This window comes from Homo sapiens, chromosome 8 (assembly GCF_000001405.40).
Source record: "Homo sapiens chromosome 8, GRCh38.p14 Primary Assembly".
In the NCBI taxonomy this organism is placed as follows: domain Eukaryota; kingdom Metazoa; phylum Chordata; class Mammalia; order Primates; family Hominidae; genus Homo; species Homo sapiens.
The window spans coordinates 25825467-25846933 of record NC_000008.11 but is presented as its reverse complement, the minus strand read 5'-3'; the positions used below and the strand labels follow the sequence as shown (position 1 = coordinate 25846933).

Here is a 21467-nt window from a genome sequence, read left to right as displayed (position 1 = left end):
AAAGGGAGATTATTACTTTCTGTCTGTTGCCTATGGTTTCTACAAGCAAAAAGTCAGTTTCCACCTAGCAGAGATCAGGCCTACCCAGTCTGGATGTAGGACTAGGAGGAAGGGATATATCTCAAATCTGTTCTTTTCTGTCATTCAGGGGATCTTGATCTTTGAGCACCTCTGCTGTTACATGAGCCCCTTTGGTATCTCTCTGAGCACCCAGAAAAAGGAAGGGACTGAAGATTTTTCTTTTTGAGACAGGGTCTCACTCTGTCACACAGGTTGTAGTATAGTGGTGCAATCATGGCTCACTGCAGCCTTGACCTCCTGGGCTCAATAAGAGATTCTCTTACCTCAGCTTCCTGAGTAGCTAAGACTATAGGCATGTACCACCATGCTGGGCTGTTTTGTATTTTTTGTAGAGATGGGTTTTCATCATGTTGCTCAGGCTGGTCTTGAACTCCTGGGCTCAAGCGATCCTCCCACCTCAGCCTCCTAAACAGCTGGGATTACAGGTGTTAGCCACCGTGCCCAGCCAGGAGTTTGTGAGTCAGAATTCCACTGCCAGAGAGCTCCACATACAGCATGGTTCCACCTTCTACCTCATTTATCAGCTGCTTCCAGTTGATGAGTATAGATTGTTGAGATAATATTACACACTATGTGTCTGATTCATTTTCCAGCTCCCTCCAGGAAAAAAAAAATAAAATAAAAAAACCTCCTACACTCTGGGATAATTACTAGGGTTGCTATATCTCTAAGTCATCAGGGAGTGTCCAGAATTGAACCGCCTTTATTGAAAAGTTACATTGATTCAATATATAGTAATACAGGCAAAAATAATTAAGGCTTTGCTAGCTGTGTAAGACCTTAATCCAGATCTCACAAACATTCAATAAAGGCTATATGGGCAGGGAAATAGACAGCTGACAATTTTACCCGAGAGGACTAGCTGATGTGGAAAAAAGGGGCAGAGAGAGTAAGAGAGGAGAGAGAGATGGAAGGGTTGAGAAAAGCAGAGAGAATTTCAGCCATTTGCTTGGAAGCTTAGTAAGCAACACTCAGCAAAATGCTTCTATTATATTGAATAATTCCTTAGATGCATTGTAGATAGTAAAATGCAAAGGATCAAATTCTAGATATGATTTTAAAGGTTCTGATGCATGGAAACTATTCTGCCATTTTCTAAGAATGTGAAAATCCCACGGGCTTATCCTCTGAAAGCCAAGGCAGGAGGAATACATTTTGCTGTGGGATTTTTCCACATTGTGCTGGTGCTGCTTTATTTGCCACATCTAGGGAAACCCTGGGAAGTGATTCTGCCCAGACAGGCATTGTCCGAATCCTTTTGACCCGATGAAGGGAGAAAGAATTAGATTACTCCATTCATATAGGGTGATGAAGAGTAGGAATTGGAGGCTGAGTACAGTGGCTCATGCCTGTAATCCCAACATTTTGGGAGGCTGAGGTGGGTGGATCACCTGAGGCCAGGAGTTCAAGACCAGCCTGGCCAACATGGCGAAACCCCATTCAATACAAAAATTCACCAGGCATGGTGGCATGCACCTGTAGTCCCAGCTACTCAGGAGGCAGAGGCTGAGGCAGGAGAATCACTTGAACCCAGGAGGTTGCAGTGAGCTGAGATGGCCCCACTGCACTCCAGCCTGGGTGACAGAACAAGATTCCACCTCAACAAAGAAGAGTGGGAACTGAGGGACTAAATGAAGTCTTCTATTCCAGTGATCAGTGTTCATTTGCAATGAGCATCAGACATGAACAGTGAGCACCAAAGGAAGATGAGCTAATTAAAAAAAAAATGCACTCACCAAAGAAGTGAAGGATAGATAAAAAGCTTGATTTGTTATCAACGATGCCCTAGTAAATCAACAGGCTCAGCACCTGGAATTTCCTTTCCTGTTCCAACTAAGTGATTTGGAGCAGTATAATCTGGAAATTATCTTAGTTGAATAAAAAAATATGCATATATTACAGTTTAGTTTACATGTTTACATCTGTTGTCTCATTTATACAACCCATATAAAACAAAACATAACTCCTGGCCTCCCAGGCAAAACTTCATCAAGGTTTCCTTGTACTTCAGTGATTCCATAAGGCTTCAGTGCCTTTAATGGGCTGTCTGCTAGACCAAACCTGGAGAACAGGTCCTCATATCAGCTGAGGGCACCATCTCCTTGAATAGCATCAGACTCTATCATTCCCATCCCCTGCCCCTCATTCTGTGTCATAGCCTTGAACATAAAAAGTCCCCAAGTCTCATTCCTGTGCCACTCTTTCCTTGCAGCCATGACCGGACTTGTTGTACCCCCGATGTAAAGAAGAACTGCTTTCTTATAGCACAAAACTACTTACTCTGATGGACCAATAATGAAGAAAGCACTAGGAGCTCTTTTGGGGGTGTAGTGGTGCCCCCACATGAACATGATGGACACCCTTGGGTCTGCAAGGAGCCAGCATCTTACTTGGTCCCACGTCCTCCTATAGCTCTGATGGTGGCTACACAAACTGACCCTCTTGGGACAAGGACAAAAGATGTCATTGACGTAGTCAGTGCTAAGAGCAGAAATGCAATTCTTTGTTATGAACATTATGAAAACCACCTTCCTATGTTTGTAAAATATTTAAGAAAAAATTGGCAAACAATTAATGCTTAATATTTTGGATACTATTTGTTTTTCTTTGTAGGAAAAAAAAGTTGAAAGTTTCTATTTTCTATGAAGCCTTTCAGATACCAATTTAGTTTATGCAGAAAAAAATTGAACAAAACAGGGTACCAGCACGGAAGACTTTCTTAAAACGCAACCTGAATTGAATGATGAAATGTTGTATGTGTGTTTGCTTATAGCTTAATCTCTTTAAAAAATGAACAAAAAAAGGGAAAAATTTTAAAATGTTTTACAATTATTTAAATAAATAAATGTGTAACTTATTGTAAGTAGAGGTAGAAATTAAGACCTTTTTTTGGAAGAGAGAGGGATTTCTCTTCCTGATGTAAAATGAAAATGATGCAAACATGTAGTAACAAGTTTTAAAGGTGTGTGATTATTACTGCAGTTACTTACTAGATTCTTATCCCCTGTCCTGCACCCCCTCCTTTTCCATCACTTTATTGACCCAAGGGCAAGAACATGTAGATTCCCACAGAACACCCTAATGCAGAAACAGACACTCTAGCACATGCACAAATACTCCAACCCATCAATTCATTCCCAGCTCCGTCTGATTTCTAAATAGTCCACACTCTTGTGAATACTTTTTAAAATTCCTATTATTAGCTTTCAACGTTCTCCCCTGAGCAGTCCAGAGAATTCCCATGTTTGAGTCTGTCTCAGGCTTTCAGCATCCCAAGGAAAGAAGCACCTCACCTTCTAGCAGAGCCAAAACCACAGACTTTCTTAACCAAGGGACCCCTTGGGAATTCCTCCTCACCAGAACCCCACCACTCCCTCCGCTTTGGGTGCCTGGTTCAGTACAGAGGTACACAGCCCCATAGAACTTCAGCAACACGGTTTGGAGAAGATAACTCTGTTTGATGGACTCTTTAGAGTCAGTCTTAGAACATCCAAGTCCTTTCCTCTCCCTGTCAATTTCCCCTTTTATGGCATTAAACTCTCTTGAAAAACATAGCTATGCCACTCGACAGTTTCTAGTCAAGAATGAGACGGAATGTGGGAGAGGGATATTAAAAGCCCTAATCCCCTCTTCTGATGTTCGAAGAAAGGCAAGACCAGATTCTTGGGAGATCCAGAGATTAGGGGCATCTGCGTTCTATGCAGCACAGTTACCCAGCCCTTTGATGGGCTCTTCATCGTTTTGTGACTAGCTCTTAGAGGGGAAGAACCTTGCCTTAGCTGCTAACAGTGGTTGATTCTTGAAAGCTTATGTAATCCTAGAGACATATCCAGGCATATTGGGATTGCCAATAAAGATGTCACTTGTTTCCACGTTGGGGTTCTCCTTATTGACTCATGAGCACCACAATAGAGTCTATACACAGACTTAGTTTGGGGTTCTTGGTTGGGATTTCAGCATTAGAAATAGATGCAGCACTCATGGAAAAACATCATGAGTGCATCTGAGCCAATTTTAGATGATTTCATTAATTCTGCATACCTTCTCTTTGACCCATTGATGCAGGCCCACATCTATCCAGCCCCAACTGTCTTATTTGCCTTTAACCCATTCTGGAATTACCCAGTATGACTTATATTATTTCTATGCACATGAGAATCCAAGGTTTTAGAAACCTGGCATGCTTATAACTACTGCTGACAGTCCCTCATAGTCAGGGCTTAAAGCGCCAAAATACACGGAAACATAAGAGAAAAAGTCCCCCAGTGAGAAACCTGATTGATGGAAGGGGAAGAATGTGTGGAATATGAATGTTACCTTCCAAAAGTGAAGGCAGAGCAAAATTAAGCATGTTTAGCCCTGGATTTGAGCCAATCCAACATAAGGAAATTTTGTTTTTTTTAAGTAGCATTGCTTTTAGAACCTGTGAATTTTCCTTTTGCATGAAGATGAGTGCAGTACTGTCTTCAAAATGATTGTAGAATTTCTTGGTAGCTTTACACCGAAAAATGCGTGTAACTAAATACCAGACATCTTGACCATTCAGCTAGAACCCTGGCAGCAACAGAGCTATTTAATTGTACAAATGTGTGTAAGGATTATTTTTAGTGTACTAATAAATTAAAAACAAAGCTACCCTGTCCTCGTTAGTCATTGCTATTCAATCATTCCAGTCCCAAGTTATTTTTGTGCCACTTGGAATATGAGTATTTCTATTGGTAACTACAAACTCTATCCTGTGTTTGTAAGAGGAGCTGTGTAAGATTTTTTTCATTTAAAGGGACAATTTACTTCATTATTTATCTTTCTTTTGTTATAGCGTTGTAATTCTTCTCAGTTTTTCTTTGCACATTTCAATATGCATGGTTTAAAAACCATTAACTTCTCTACCTTTTGTACAGTAAGGTTTCATTTTCACACTGTATAGTTTCATTTTATTGTTTTGCTTTGTCAGTTATATACAGTATAAAGTTGCTATGCACAGAGCTTTTTGTAAAGACAGCTTTTTTGTTTACTGTTTTTAATGGTCTTACTTAAAGAATATCTTGTTTGTAAAATGAATATGTCTACTTCAGTTTTAAACTTTAAATTATCCTAACAAAAAAATAAAATTTTTGTACTGTAAAAATGAGTGGACCTTTGCTTTTTATTTTTTATTTTTTTGGAGTGGTAGTTTGGAATTTGTTCTTAATGTTGGCAATTTTCTCATAACTGCTGGTCCCTGAGTTCTATTTGAGGAAATCTTACTATAGATTTTGTTTACATGGAATGTGTACTAAGTTACTCCCTTAAAGGAGAGCATGACTTTTGTTCATTTTTCTGTATATATTCATCTATATATCCATCTGTTCAAATTCATTCATAAAAAAACCCCTCAAAACTGAAAGAATCCTGTTTGCTCTGTTGGATTTTGGCTATATAGTATTCCTGAGGTAGGTGGGCAGTCTCCCCTGATTTGAAATTGCTTGTTGAGCAAATGTTACATCTTGAGCCGTCAGACACTGGGTGAAGAATCGCAGGCTAGAACACAAAGACTTGATGTCTCTCCTTAAATCGTAGGAAAGGAGTGAGACGTGTACTCATGGAAGAAAATAATACGCAGACGATAGCTCACTCAGGAAGATAGAGAGGGTGCAGAAGCTCGGAGAAGACACCCAGACAGAGGATTGGAGCTGTCAGAGAGGGTTCCTTTGAGGGAGGCAGGGCTGGACCAGGGCTCCAAAGAGCAGCAGGAATTTTGCAGTAGAGGAGGTTAGTAGCGAGCAGTCCAGATGGGAAGGATAACATAAAGACATGCAAAGGGAAATTCACAAAGCACACTTAGGAGAACGGGATCCTACATGTGATTTTTCAACCAGAGTATTCACAAGTGTAATTAAAATTGGATTATTTCATTTCTCTCTAGGAGGGTACAGATATCTTCAAACCACACGCATTGCCCTCCTCACATAAGTGGATGCAATCCTGCTTCTAAACACTGAAAAAGTCACTGTGTTTTTGCTTTTCTCAATGAAAACTAGCTCTCTGCCTAGTAGGATATTCTCCCCTTTGATCTGTGCATAGCTGTTGCCTTCTCATCCTTCAGGCCGCAGTTTAAATATCACCTACTGAGGGAGGCCTCTGGTGACCACCTAAGATGCAGATTCCCCTTCTTATTCTCCGTAATTAAACTCTGTTTGTGCCCTTTTCACACTTTGCATTCATTTGTTTGTTTCCTGCTGGCTGTCTCCCTCCACTTTAGACAGAAAGCTCATAAGGACAGGGACCATATCGGTCTCAACCCCATAAGTGACCGAGGTTCTCAACATGCTTGTTGGATGAGTGAACCAGCAGACTCAGTTCGGACTCCCAGAGGTGGCCCTGCCTTGTCATGTGGGAGAGGCCACTGATTTGTTACAAACGACAGAAAATGGCATCACTGGCAGAATCCACTCCTTAGGGACTCTCTTGTCAGTCAACTAATCAAAAAAATTATGAAGTGTGTCTATAATGTAATGTGGCTGGATGTTTAACAGAGAAAACTCAAAATGGGAAGGAAATGAGGAGGAAGCAACCTCTGGCTGGTCGCCTGTTGGAGAGGTTGCTCAGCCCTGGAACTTATCCCATGTGGATTCTCTCACTCGGATGTGATTCTAGAACCAGAATCTGGATCTTTTAGAGAAATGTACATTCCATTCCTGCTCCAGGTAGGACAATGTTAACCACACACTTGAATCTCAAAGAGTCTTTGGTGCATTTACCAAATGGCAAGAAGTCCAGAGTGGCTGTTGGGCACTGAATGTGAGAGTGTTTAGATTTGAAACTTTAAGAATTAGGTGGGGACTATGTCCTAAAAGACTGTTCTCAATGCCAAAGACTTTAGACTTCATACACTGATCTATACTGCAGGTAATGGAACTCAAAGAAACTTACAGAATGACATGATCAACTTTAGACTTTAGATAAATCATAATAACTACAATGTGATGGATTGGAGAATGTAGATATTAGAAGCAAGGAGACCAATTAGGCAAAGACCAAAGACAGCTGATGAGCACCAGTGTTCTGGGCTATTGTTTATGACTGGTGTCCTTTCTAATTGCTCAGCATCTGTGTGGCACCAGTTGTGAAATGTTTTAAAATTGCTCCTGCAATTAAGATACTATTGAAATAGTCTAAACACAAATGACTCATATTTGAACAAGGCATGACAATAGAGATGGAAAGCGGAGGAAAGATTTTAGAGAACGTTTTACAGTTTGACAGGAGTTATCGACTAGTGAAGTGTTGGAATGAAGAGAATGAGGTGACTAGGATAAATCCCAGTTTGCCAGTTAGACAATCAGATTTCGGGATATCATTAACTGAAGTAGGGAGTGCAGAGGGGGGATATCTTGGGAAGGTTGGAAGGAAATTATTTTAAATTGGGACACACCTGGCACACATCCTCCTCTTCCTTCTTGGTTCACTGAAGGTTGTTTTCTAGCAGTTTAATCAAGAAGGACTTAGGAGAATTATGCTCCTTGGTTCATGCACACCAAAAAGAGATTATTTCTATTTGAGTGGCTATTGGTTAAGTATTAAATCTAAAATTGGGGGGGTTATACTTTGAGGATTCATAGGAGTTTTTGTTTATTTGCTGTGTTGCTGTGGCGATGTCTAAAGCCATGACTTTCTTCTCCTCTATTATTTTACTTATTTAAGCAAGGCAATCCTATAATTTTTTTGTGTAAGTCATGACACTTTTGAGAGTGAGGGAAACACAATACATAATTATGGCTGGAAAACAGATGCAAATTGAGACTAGCTCATGGTCTCTTTATTTACAAGTGACTTGATCTTTTTGTCTGTCAGCCCCAGAGGCTTTCTATGGGAAGCCAGTCCCTTTACCAGGATATAGCTGGATGTTGATTGTCCTGAGTCATTTTTTTCCCAGTGTTCCCTTTCAATGTGTAGATTCAAGTAGTCTTTTATTTCTGGAAACTTTAATTACGATGTTAAAATATATTCTCTGTTCCTTCATTCTGGTCCTTCTGGTCCCCTTTTCTGGTCTTTCTAAAGACACAAGTGAGACTCTCTAGTCTCCATCATTTGTGTCCGTCACATCCTCTCTAAATGCATGCTGTTTGCTTGCCTTTCTCACTCTTGTCTGCCTTTGTGTTCCTTCTAATTTCTCAGTGGCTTTTATTTTTTCTTTCACTATTTTCATGAGTTGTGCCAGGTTATATTTCATCGGTTTTATTGTGTTGCCCATTTTCATAGAACTGCTGCATCTCTGCATTGAGCTATTGTTTCATAGAAATATTGGTTTTTAAAATGATTAAGGCAATGAGCTTGATCAGAATTACCACCAGCTCCATGAGAACCTTTTTCTTTCTGGTGACTATCCATCAACTATCCATTGTTTTCCTTTCCTTTTTCTTTCCCCTCTCCCATAGTGTATGCATATATATCATATTCTGATACCTTTTTGACAGCATTTATCTTTGATTGAAGTGAATTTTTCCTGGACCAGCTATTTGCCAGAAGTTTGGGAGGGGAGGGTCAGGGCTATGTATTAGATAACAAAAATTCTTATTTCAGAATTCTTACGTGTGTACATGCATGTGTGTGTGTGTGTGTGTGTGTATGTGAGAGAGAGAGAGAGAGAGAGAGAGAGAGAGAGAGAGAGAGAGAGAGAGAGAGCGTGCGTGTTTTTTTTTTTTTTTGAGAAGGAGTCTTGTTCTGTCACCCAGGCTGGAGTGCAGTGGTGTGATCTCGGGCCACTGCAACCTCTACCTCCTGGGTTCAAGTGAGTCTCATGCCTCAGCCTCTCAGGTAGCTGGGATTACAGGCATGCATCACCACATCTGCCTAATTTTTATATTTTTTAATAGGGACAGGGTTTGCCATGTTGGCCAGGCTGGTCTCGAACTCCTGGCCTCAAGTGATCCTCCTCGGCCTCCCAGAGTGCTGAGATTATAGGTGTGAGCCACCGCACCTGCCAGACCACTCTTCCTTGCCAACTGGCCGCTTCTTACATCTATGGCTTGTTTGGGTGATTTCCTCATTCAGTTCTGCCTACTGAGCTTCATCTCTCTGCCAGATGAGGTCCAGAGATAACGTCTGCAGTCAGATTCCATGCTCATCCCAGTCGTTACAAACAAGAGGCTGCTGGTTTGGGCCTTCGAGATAGTCCTACTCTTTCCCCCCAGCTTTCTCTGACGTCAGCAGCTGAAGCAGCCTTTCTCAGTCTCTCCACATTCCTGTTTAATTTTCACAGCCATTGCCACCCCTTTCTCATACATTGTGATTTGGGGTAACCTGTTTTCCTAGTTTCATCAAAAAATAAATTCACGCCTCTCTTTCTCATTTCTCTATTTTCTTTTGAGTGATTCTGAGAGGGAACTGGTAGAAAGGTCATAGAATAGCACTTTAGTCTGGATGTCAGCCCCACGGTAATTCAAGAAAAAGGGACAACTACACAGCACCGTGAACTTCATTCTACCACCATGTGTCAAGCTTACCTCTGACTTCGTAGACTACCCTTGATAACCAGCTCTGCGGCCCAGCTCAGTGACACTTTCTCCATTGGATCCTTTCCATTGGATCACTTTCTCCATTGGATCCTGCCAAATACAGATAATAAAACACAGGCAATTTCCCAAATAACAAATAAAAGTGATCATCCAGCTGAAGTTTATTATGATGAATAATACACAGAAAGGAATTCATTGCCTGACTCTTGGAAATCTGTTGAAGGGCACACGAACTGTCACACCATTGGGAGTATTGAAGGAGATGGTTTTTTGGTTATTTCCCTAAAACTGAGCCCACCTTTTACAGCAAAACCCTATTTTCCATTCATTTCATGAACAGAAGACAGTGTCATAATGTGGAAATATCTAGGATTCAGAGATCTGGATTCAAATTCAAGTTCTACAATCCTTAGCTATGCAATCCTGAATAAATCACTGCATTATTCTTCTCAAGTGTAAAACAAGGACAAGGACAACTACACAGGCATATATGTATACGTAGATACATGCATATGTGTGTATACATATAACTACATGCATACACACAAATAGTTATTAGGATTAAATTTAAAAATATATGTACTTTAAAGACTGTAAGCTCAATGAAGTTTGAATGTATTTTTCTGGCTGTTTCATTCACTACTATATTCCTAGCACCTAGCATAGTATAATACTTGAGAAAAGCAGGCACTCCATAAAAAATTAACAATTTATTGAAAATGTAAAATACCTACATGTGTTAGAGGTTCATTAAATTCAGCAACAAGAACAGCTTCAACATGGACTTTTGGAGACACAGACTTGGATTTGAATCCCAGCTTTCCCACTTGCCAGTACCAGCACAGGAATGGAACAAGCAGTGACACAGTATTCTCTGGTTCATCATCTTTGAAAGAGCAGGACTTCAGCACCTGGTCCTGCCTTGGGGGTCAGTTAACATCGTCCTCTCAACAGCCCGGGTTGCTTATCTGATGGGTGCTAAAAAGGAAAGCAGTCAAGATACGGGTTTCACTCCAGTTCATTTGTGGACAAAAGAGTGACTAGCAATAGGACCATTATTTGGCCATGGATATACTTTGATCCAACAGTAAAAATTAGGTTAGAACAATGGGCCGCATACCCAGGAATTAGTTCCCAAGGTCTCAGTGTGCTTGGAAGTGAGTGGTACAGCCAGGAGAAACCATAGTCCCAGGTCTTTGTAAGTGATAATAGGAAAAAAAAAAAAAAAAAAAAAAAAGAGTAAAGGATGTGTCCTAACCGCCAGTCCATTTTCTTCCATTAAAATTTAACAAGAATTTTCTTATCAGAGATTAGAACATCTGGTATGTCATGGCTACTACTTTTGAGGACAAAGCAAACATTGTTTTCAATCCCAGATTTTCACAAGTCCAAGAGTTTGAACCCATGAAAAATTGCTCTTAAAACAAGAATGAGACCAAAATGACTTCTAATACAAAATCCAAATATTACCACTTTTGAACTGAGCAAGAGCAGAATAGTTGCATAGAACTCTAAGTGTCTCAAAGATTAGGGCTACATAAATTTGAAGTATTATGGTCATTAAACATTAATAATACTTGTTTATAATAATGATAATGACTAATACATTGGAAATGCTAAACTTCCACTCTTTGCCCTGTGGAGTAGCAGAATGAGTGTTAGCATTGGAAACCACCAGACATGAGTTCAAATCCTGCCTCCATCCCTCACTATAATTATCCTTACAAGCTGCAGTTTCACCATCTGTAAAAATGGTGATAAGAAGACCTTTATGCCAAGATTCTTTGCCTGCCAAGATTGTTGTGAGGTTTAAATACAATAATCAATGTCATAGTGGCAGACACAGTAAGTGTTTGGCTCTATATGTTTGTTTCTTTCCCCTTAGCCTGAGATAAAAATTAACATGTGTTTATCTGGAAAGCCACCCATCATTCTTTCCTTACAACTCCTCCCTGGCAGCACAGAAAAGAGGACTATTAATTAGCAGTGTTTGTGAAACACTTAGAAGATGAAAGTGCTGAGTGCAGAACAGCACCATTTACATCACAATACATGAGTTGGCTGCTCCTTCAAGTGGATCCACTTACAATGTAAGGCAGGCCTAATGGATGTGTTCGTGTCATTCAAAAATCAATGTGGGAGTCTCTGGAAAAGGCATGTGTCTGCCTGCTGTGCTATAGCCAGTCCAATGCAGTAGGAGGGCAATCCTGAAGAGGCAATTGATGGATAATGCTCTAACACAGTGATCCCTAACCTTTATGGCACCAAGGACCAGTTTTGTGGAAGGCAGTTTTTCCACGGACCAGAAGAGGGGGATGGTTTTGGATGATTCAAGCGCATTACACTTATTGTGCACTTTATTTCTATTATTATTACATTGTATTAATAGTATATAATGAAATAATTATACAACTCACCATAATATAGAATCAGTAGGAGCTCTGAGCTTGTTTCCCTGCAACCAGATGGTCCCATCTGGGGGTGATGGAGACAGGGACAGATCATCAGGCATTAGATTCTCATAAGGAACACCCAAACTAGATCCCTCACATTTGCAGTTCACAATAAGGTTTGTGCTCCTTTGAGAATCTAATGTTGTCGCTGATCTGACAGGAGACGGAGCTCAGGCAGCAATGCAAGAGATGGGAGCGGCTGTAAATACAGGTGAAGCTTTACTTGCTCACCTGCCGCTCACCTCCAGCTGTGTGGCCCTGTTCCTAACAGGCCATGGATTGGTACCAGTCCATGGCCTAGGGATTGGGGACCACTGCTCTAATAGCCATGGTAATGAGAAACCAGAAAGGAGGTCAAAACTTTATCTAATTGAAACCTACAAACAGCCCTAAATTCCCTTTAGCAACAACAAGGGTATCTGGTGGATTTTGGTTTCACATTGTCTTCTTTCCCTGGCAGATCTTAGAAGAAGAAAATCAATTCTACATAAATGGCAAAAGCAGTGTTCCCCAAGCTGGGGCTGACAGACCCCTGAGAAAAAAGCATTACGTGCTAGTGGAGGAGCTGGAAGTTGTGGATCTCCAACACTGATTTCCAATATTTGGTTCTCCTCTGCTCCTGATCACATGCGAAAATTACACTTTCCCATGTTGTTTCAGCAAAACATCATCCATCACTGTAAATTAATGTTGTTAATATTGAACTTACTGATTTTGTGGTTTTGATGGTTTTTACTTTGTGAATTATTTTTATTAAAACAAGCATATATAAAAGCATATGAATCGAATCTTAAATTTTAGCTTTGTGCAAATTTTAATATAATTCCAAATAATTTACAAATAATTTAAGAAACACCACAGCCTTTTAAAGGTTTAAAATTTTTTTTCTTAATTCTAAATTCTTAATTTGGAAATATATTACTCAAATTTGAGGATCACTGAACTGTGAGAATAGGAAAAGGGAGGAAAAGTCTTAGTAATCGACAAATTGGGTCATCATTCCTTGAATACTCAAGACTTGGCTGCATGTTGATTCCTGTATTCTGTAGTTCTGCACCAATAGAAGAAATCTCCATGTATTATTCTGGTATTTCACTTTTACCTCTGAATTATGTTCATATCCACAAATCCCAGCCAAGGGCCTATAGAATAATTGTCCCCACATGTAACATTTTCCTGGTGATGTTTTCCTTTCCTTGGTCCTATGAAATATAGAAATGTGTTTCTAATTATTAGCAGAACCACCTGGTAACTGCACTGTATCATCTCAATAATATGACTCATTTAGTATACACTTTGGTAGAACTCAGTCATGTTTGACGCCATCCAAGAAAAATTAGTTATGACAATAACCTCACATAACACAGGCTCACCTGTAACCAAGGTGATCATATTTTGTTAGCCAATAATAAGAAATTATGACTTGACAAGTATAAATATAGCTGAAATTGGAGTTGTCCTAGAAAATCCAGGACATACAGATTTCTATGGCATAAGGCACAAAAACCGCCTATGAAGCGATGCTGTGGTGTCTTCATTTTCTTATTTTTAAGAACTTAAAGCAACTGGTTCTTCTATCCATTGTCCTTATACCTGTATGTGTGGGCGGAGGCCCAAGAATCTATCACTTCATGGAATTCACTGAGTGTGCAGGAGGTGAGCAAAGAAATTAACTAGCTCTTCTGGGAAACTTACCTCTGCCTTTGCAGGGAAACTGAATAGAAATGTCTTCCTGTATAATAAGGTTTTTACAAAACTGACCCCTTCTTTAGACTCGGCAGGGTTGGCTTGTTGATGAGGGAAGAGGTTGTCCAGACGCCTAAGGAAACGCTTATGTGTCAGGCTAAATTTTTCTTCTATGTTGAATCATGGCCCAAGGCCCCCCAAGTTTGTGAGCCTGTGCTAATTTGCATGGATAGCTTCCCTACTCTTTCTTAATTCTTTGTTTTTGTTTTTACTGTTTTAAGTAGGAATGTCAGAGAGTGGAAGAAGAGATCAAATGAAGAGAGGGCATGGCATAGATTTGATCTTCCAACAGAGAACAGAAGAAAGGTTTCCTAGTATGGCAGTCCATTCTGGCATGGAACTGAGTACCATGGAAAGGTCAGTTAAGGAATTCTGAGAGGCCTTGGGCACAGGAAGGAACAGTCAAAGAGAAATCAGAAGTAGCACCAAAATTCTAACCTGTAGGACATATTTTGATGTTGGGAGTGGTTGGGGGCTATAGGTTCATTAGAACACAGAAGACAAGATTGATGGCATCCACCCATGAGAAATGACAGCAGAAAGTGGAACTGCACCTTGTTGTTCATCAGAGCGGCAGAGGAGAAGGCGCCTGTGGCACAGGCAGCAGCTGGAGGAGGTGGGAAGGAGCTAAGAAGATGCAAAGCCTCAGGCAAAGTTCTCCAGGTCCCTCACAGAAGCACCAGGTTGCTTCTGCCTGTTGGAGGACTGTGTTGGCAAGAGAAAGACAAGAGGGATAGGCCTGGGAAGGATGCTTTCCCCAGCATGTTCCAACCTGGTTTTCCAAAAACCAATGACTCCAACAATGGTAACAAGGAAAACGACATAAACTACTTGAGTACTAACAGCCAAGCCAGATTGGCACACAAAACCAACATAGAGTACACAATTTAATAGTTGTAGTCTACTTAACTAAAGTTGTGCCACCACTATCCCAACCTAACTTTAGAACAGCTCCATCACCCCAAGGCCTTAAATGCTTTTTCCCTTGGATCTATCTTTCCATGTTTCTTTAAGAAGTGCCCTTTTTTAGCATCCTGTCTCAAGCATGGGTAGAAATGCCAGGTGAGCCTGCCTGTTTGTGCCAACCTCCATGCAGTAGAGACCTCCACAAGGTATCCTTTCCCACAGCAAGGCTTAGTCATGTGCATCGATGCTGTATGGGGCTCTTTTAAGCACATAGGGTAGCTTATGTCTGAAGCAGGCAGCTGGGCTGCAATGGAAGGACTTAGAATCAGAAGGGCTACTTTCAAATCTCAGTTGAACTCTTGATTGTGTCAGCTCTTGGCCTCTCTGAGACTCCATTCCTTATTCTGCAAAAATGGGTCAACTCTTCCTTATCTCGTGAGGTTAAAAATAAAATGGGGTGACTCTTGTGAACACAAGTAACACAGAGAAGGGATCAACACACATCAGTAGAATTCAATATTCTTGACTGTAAATGAAGAAATCAAAGTTTGTTAAAAAGTGATTGTTTTTCAATTCTACCACACAGATAAGTAATAAATAATCAGTAGACAATTATGGAAAAGTCTTACTAAAATGAGATTACGGTGGGGGCAGGGCCAAGATGGCCGACCAGAAGCAGCTACGTTCGGAGGCTCCCAGTGAAAAAAAAAAAACATAATAAGTGTGTGAATCCTTCACCAGCAACCAAGGTATCCATGTTTTCTCATCAAAATTGACTACGGGGCTCTCTCAACAAAAAAATTGACCACGGAGAGAAGGAACAACAGTGTGCTGCAGTGGCACACCTGAGAGCCACACGGGCAAGGGGAACCTCCTCCCCCAGCCAAGGGAGGTGGTAAGTGTGCTACCCTGCCAGGGAGACTATGCTTTTGCCATGGAACTGTGCAACCCATGGATCAGAAGATCCCATTCGCGAATCCACGCCACCAGGGTCTAGCGTCCCAACCACAGAATGCACAGATGCTTACAGCCTCTCAGCTTGAATCTGCTTAAGCCTAATGGAAATCCCTGGGGGAAGGGCGACCAGCATCAGCTATGGCTGCCTGCTGTCTAAGCCGGTTGAGCTCCTTGGGGGAGGGACAGCAGCCAGCACTATGACTCACAACTGCCTAACATGCTAAGCTCCCTGGGTGGGGGGAAGGGCGGCACCCATTTCTATAGCTCCAAGCTATGCTTTTCCCCTGCTGGAGCCAGGGAGACTGGACAGCTTGGCCCCAAGACTTGTCCCCACAGCCCAACACACCGGCTGTGGCAGTCAGCGGCCAGAGTGCCTCTTCAGACCTAACGCTGACCCATCTTTCCTCATTGGGTGGGGCTTCCTTGCAGGATTTCCAGTAACTCCAGCCAGAGGATCAGGGACAGAATTTGGATCTCCCTGGGCATGAGCCCCTAGTGGGAGAGGTGGCCACAGTCTCTGCGGACTAGCAGACTTAACCTCTCCTCCTGGTAGTTCTGAGGAATGCAGGCAACCTGGATGAGTGGGTTTCCCCACAGTGAAGCACACTCTCTCCACCAAGAAACAAAGTGCTTCATTAAATGGGTCCTGCTCCCCATGCCACCCAACTGGGTGAGACCCTCCAACAGGGGTTGTCAAACACCCTATATAGGAGAGATCCTACTGGCATCACGTTGGTGCCCCTCGAGGTCAGACGTCCCAGAAGAAAGAGCAAGCACCCATTTTTGCTCTTCTCCAGCCTCTGTGAATGACATCTCCAGGCATGGGAATGAATTGGGTAAATAGGGCCTAAAGTGAACCCCCAGCAAACTGCAGCAGCCTTACAGAAGAGGGACCTGACTACTGAAAGAAAAACAAACCAACAGAAGGCAACAACAAAAAAAAGGCCCCCACAAAAACCACATCCAAAGGTCAGCGGACTCAAAGACCAAAACTAGACAAACTCACGAAGATGAGAAAGAATCAACGAAAAACTGCTGAAAACCCAAAAGGCCAGAGTGCCTCTTTTCCTCCAAATGATCGAAACGTCTCTCCATCAAGGGTACAGAACTGGACAGAGGATCAGATGGATGAATTGACGGAAGTAGGCTTCAGAAGATGGGTAGTAACTACAATGAGCTAAAGGAGCATGTTCTAACCCAATGCAAAGAAGCTAAGAACCTTGATAAAAGGTTAGAGGAATTGCTAACTAAAATAACCAGTTTAGAAAGGAACATAAACAACCTGATGGAACTGAAAAACACAGCGCTAGAACTTTGTGAAGTATACACAAGTATCAACAGCCGAATTGACCAAGCAGAAGAAAGGATATCAGAGTTTGAAGACCACCTTACTGAAATAAGACATGCAGACAAGAATAGAGAAAAAAGAATGAAAAGGAATGAACAAAGCCTCCAAGAAATATGGGACTTCATAAAAAGACCGAACCTACAATTGATTTGAGTACGAGAAGGAGGTAGAGAGAATGGAAACAAGCTGGAAAACACACTGCAGGATATTATCCAGGAGAACTTCCCCAACCTAGCAAGACAGGCCAACATGCAAGTTCAGGGAATACAGAGAGCACCATTAAGATACTCCACGAGAAGATCAACCCCAAGATACATAATCATCAGGTTCTCCAAGGTTGAAATGAAGGAAAAACTCTTAAGGGCAGCCAGAGAGAAAGGCCAGGTCTCCTACAAAGGGAAGCCCATCAGACTAACAGCAGACCTCTCAGCAGAAACTCTACAAGCCAGAAGAGATTGGGGACCAATATTCAACTCAAGAATTTTCAACCCAGAATTTCATATCCAGCCAAACTAAGCTTCATATGCAAAGGAGAAATAAAATCCTTTCCAGACAAGCAAATACTGAGATATTTCATTACCAGTCCTGCCCTGCAAGAGCTCCTGAAGGAAGCACTAAATATGGAAAGGAAAAACTGGTACCAGCCACTGCAAAAACAGACCAAAATATAAAGACCAATGACATTATGAAGAAACTACATCAGCTAGTGTGCAAAATAACCAAATAGTATCATGAAGACAGGATCAAATTCACACATAACAATACTAACCTTAAATGTAAATAAATGTAAATAGGCTAAATGCCCCAATTAAAAGACACAGACTGGCAAATTGGATAAGGAACACCCATTGGTGTGCTGTATTCCAGAGACCCATATTATATGCAGAGACACACAGAGGCTCAAAATAAAGGAATGGAGAAAAATTTATCAAGCAAATGGAGAGCAAAAAAAAAGCAGGGGTTGCATCCTAGTCTCTAACAAAACAGACTACAAACCAGAAAAAAGGGCATTACATAATGGTAAAGGGAACAATTCAACAAGAAGAGCTATTATAAATATATATGCACCTAATACAGGAGTGCCCAGATTTGTAAAGAAAGTTCTTAGAGACCTACAAAGAGACTTAGACTCCCACACAATAATAGTGGGAGACTTTAACACCTCACTGTCAATATTAGACAGATCAATGAGACAGAAAATTAACAAGGATATTCAGGACTTGAACTCCGCTCTGGACCAAGGCAGACCTAATAGACATCTACAGAACTCTCTACCCCAAATCAACAGAATATACATTCTTCTCAGTGCCACATGGCACTTATTATAAAATCAACCGCATAATTGGAAGTAATACACTCCTCAACAAATGAAAAAGTACTGAAATCATAACAAACAGTCTCTTAGACCATAGTGCAATCAAATTAGAACTCAGGATTAAGAAACTCACTCAAAAGCACACAACTTCATGGAAATTGAACAACCTGCTCCTGAATGACTCCTGGGTAAAGAATGAAATTAAGGCTTAAATCAAGAAGTTCTTTGAAACCAATGAGAACGAAGAGACAATGTACCAGAATCTCTGGGACACAGCTAAAGTAGTGTTAAGAGGGAAATTTACGGCACTAAATTTCCACAGCGGAAAGCTAGAAAGATCTCAAATCAACACTCTAACATCACAATTAAAAGAGCTAGAGAGACAAGAGCAAACTAATCCAAAAGCTAGAAGACACGAAATAACTAAGATCAGAGAAAAATTGAAGGCGATGGAGACATTAAAAACACTCCAAAAAATCTACAAATCCAGGAGCTTAAAAAATTAGCAAAATAGGTAGACTGCTAGCTAGACTAATAAAGAAGAAGGAGAGAAAATCAAATAGACGCGACACCATAAACAATAATAAGGGGGATTATCACCACTGACAAAAATACAAACTACCATCAGAGAATACTATAAACACCTCTATGCAAATAAAGTGGAAAATCTAGAAGAAATGAATAAATTTCTGGATGCATACACCCTACCAAGACTACACCAGGAAGAAGTTGAATCCCTAAATAGACCAATAACAAGTTCTGAAATTGACAAAATAATTAATAGCCTACCAACCAAAAAAAGCCCAGGACCAGACAGATTCACAGCTGAATTCTACCAGAAATACAAAGAGGGGCTGGTACCATTCTTTCTGAAACTATTCCAAACAATTGAAAAGGAAGGACTCCTCCCTAACTCATTTCATGCAGCCAGAATCATCCTGATACCCAAACTGGGAAGAGACACAACAAAAAAAGAAAACTTCAGGCCAGTATCTCTGATGAACATCAATGCGAAAATCCTCAATAAAATACTGGCAAATCGAATCCAGCAGCACATCAAAAAACTTATCCAGCAAGATCAATTCGGCTGCATCCCTGGGATGCAAGGCTGGTTCAACATATGCAAATCAATAAACATAATCCATCACATAAACAGAACCAAAGACAAAAACCACATGATTATCTCAATAGAGGCAGAAAAGGCCTTTGACAAAAATTCAACATCCCTTCATGTTAAAAACTCTCAATAAACTAGGTATTGATGGAACATATCTCAAAATAATAAGAGCTTTTTATGACAAAACCACAGCCAATATCATATTGAATGGGCAAGAGCTGGAAGCATTCCCTTTGAAAACCAGTACAAGACAAAGATGCCCTCTCTCACCACTCCTATTCAACACAGTATTGGAAGTTCTGGCCAGGGCAATCAGGCAAGAGAAAGAAATAAAGTGTATTCAAATAGGAAGACAGGAAGTCAAGTTGTCTCTGATTGCAAATGACATGATTTTATATTTAGAAAACCCCATCATCTCAACCCAAAAACTCCTTAAACTGATAAGCAACTTCAGCAAAGTCTCAGGATACAAAATCAATGTGCAAAAATCACAAGCATTCCTTTATATCAACAATAAGCAAGCAGAGAGCCAAATCATGAATGAACTCCCATTCATAATTGCTACAAAGAGAATAAAATACTTAGGAATACAGCTAACAAGGGATGTGAAGGACCCCTTCAAGGAGAACTACAAACCACTGCTCAAGGAAATAAGAGAGGACACAAACAAATGGAAAAACATTCCATCCTCATGGATAGGAAGAATCAATATCATGAAAACGACCATACTGCCCAAAGTGTTTTATAGATTCAATGCTATTCCCATCAAACAAACTATTCTAATTCTTCACAGAATTAGAATAAAAAACTATTTTAAATTTCAAATGGAATCAAAGAAGGCCCTGTGTAGCCAAGACAATCCTAAGCAAAAAGAACAAAGCTGGAGGCATCATGCCACCTGACTTCAAACTATACTACAAGGCTACAGTAACCAAAACAGCATGGTACTGGTACTAAAACAGACATATAGGCCAGTGGAGCAGAACGGAGACCTCAGAAATAAGGCCACATATCTACAACCATCTGATCTTTGACAAACCTGACAAAAACAAGCAATGGGGAAAGGATTTCCTATTCAGTAAATGGTGCTGGGAAAACTGGCTAGCCATATGCAGAAAACTGAGACTGGACCCCTTTCCTTACACCTTATACAAAAATTAACTCAAGATGGATTAAAGACTTAACTATAAAATCCAAAGCCATAAAAACCCTTGAAGAAAACATAGGCAATACCATTCAGGACATAGGCATGGGCAAAAACTTCATGACAAAAACACCAAAAGCAACTGCAACAAAAGCCAAAATTGACAAATGGGATCTAATTAAACAAAAGAGCTTCTGCACTGCTTAAAAGGAACTATCATCAGAGTGAACAGGCAACCTACAGAATGGGAGAAAATTTTTGCAATCTACCCATCTGACAAAGGTCTAATATCCAGAATTTATAAGGGACTTAAACATATTTACAAGAAAAAAAACAATTCCATCAAAAAGTTGTCAAAGGATAGGAATACTACTAAAAAGAAGACATTTACACAGCCAACAAATATATGAAAAAAAGCTCAACATCACTGACCAGAGAAATGCAAATCAAAACCACCATGAGATACCATCTCATGCCAGTAAGAATGGTGATTATTAAAAAGTCATGAATCAATAGATGCTGGTGAGGCTGTGGAGAAATAGGAACGCTTTACACTGGTGGTGGGAATGTAAACTATTTCAACCATTGTGGAAGACAGTATGGTGATTCCTCAAGGATCTAGAACCAGAAATACCATTTGATCCAGCAATCCCATTACTGGGTATATACCCAAAGGAATATAAATCATTCTACCATAAAGACACATGCACATGTATGTTTATTGCGGCATTATTTACAATAGCAAAGACATGGAACCAACACAAATGCCCATCAATGATAGACTGGATAAAGAAAATGTGGTACATATACACCATGGAATACTATGCAGCCATTAAAAATGAGATCATGTCCTTTGCAGGGACATGGATGAAGCTGGAAGCCATCATCCTCAGTAAACTAACA

General features: G+C 40.6%; 1 protein-coding gene and 2 long non-coding RNA genes across 3 annotated transcripts in view, besides 1 other annotated feature; 2 read left to right on the top strand and 1 right to left on the bottom strand.

The window, feature by feature from the left end:
- The window catches only part of EBF2 (EBF transcription factor 2), a 203689-nt gene extending 198480 nt beyond the window's left edge, over positions 1-5209 (top strand). The window contains exon 16 of the mRNA NM_022659.4: positions 2294-5209. Coding sequence (NP_073150.2) covers positions 2294-2325 — 32 coding nt within the window. The 3' untranslated portion in view covers positions 2326-5209. The remainder of the gene's footprint in view (positions 1-2293) is intronic.
- On the top strand, positions 6912-12808 carry LOC124901915 (uncharacterized). Its single transcript, XR_007060864.1, has 2 exons — positions 6912-6969; positions 12492-12808. It is a non-coding gene; the product is annotated as an uncharacterized LOC124901915 (long non-coding RNA).
- LOC107986933 (uncharacterized) overlaps positions 9565-21467 on the bottom strand; it is a 207238-nt gene continuing 195335 nt past the window's right edge. The window contains exons 2-3 of the long non-coding RNA XR_001745849.2: positions 10313-10556; positions 9565-9668 (exon numbers count right to left, since the gene is read on the bottom strand). This is a non-coding gene — a long non-coding RNA (uncharacterized LOC107986933). The remainder of the gene's footprint in view (positions 9669-10312; positions 10557-21467) is intronic.
- Positions 15878-16678: an enhancer, noted in NCBI's record as "NANOG-H3K27ac-H3K4me1 hESC enhancer chr8:25687772-25688572 (GRCh37/hg19 assembly coordinates)". NCBI's record gives its function as "activates a minimal SCP1, AML or CMV promoter by ChIP-STARR-seq in naive and primed H9 embryonic stem cells {active_cell/tissue: H9 hESC(naive and primed)}" and the evidence as "EXISTENCE:reporter gene assay evidence [ECO:0000049][PMID:30033119]".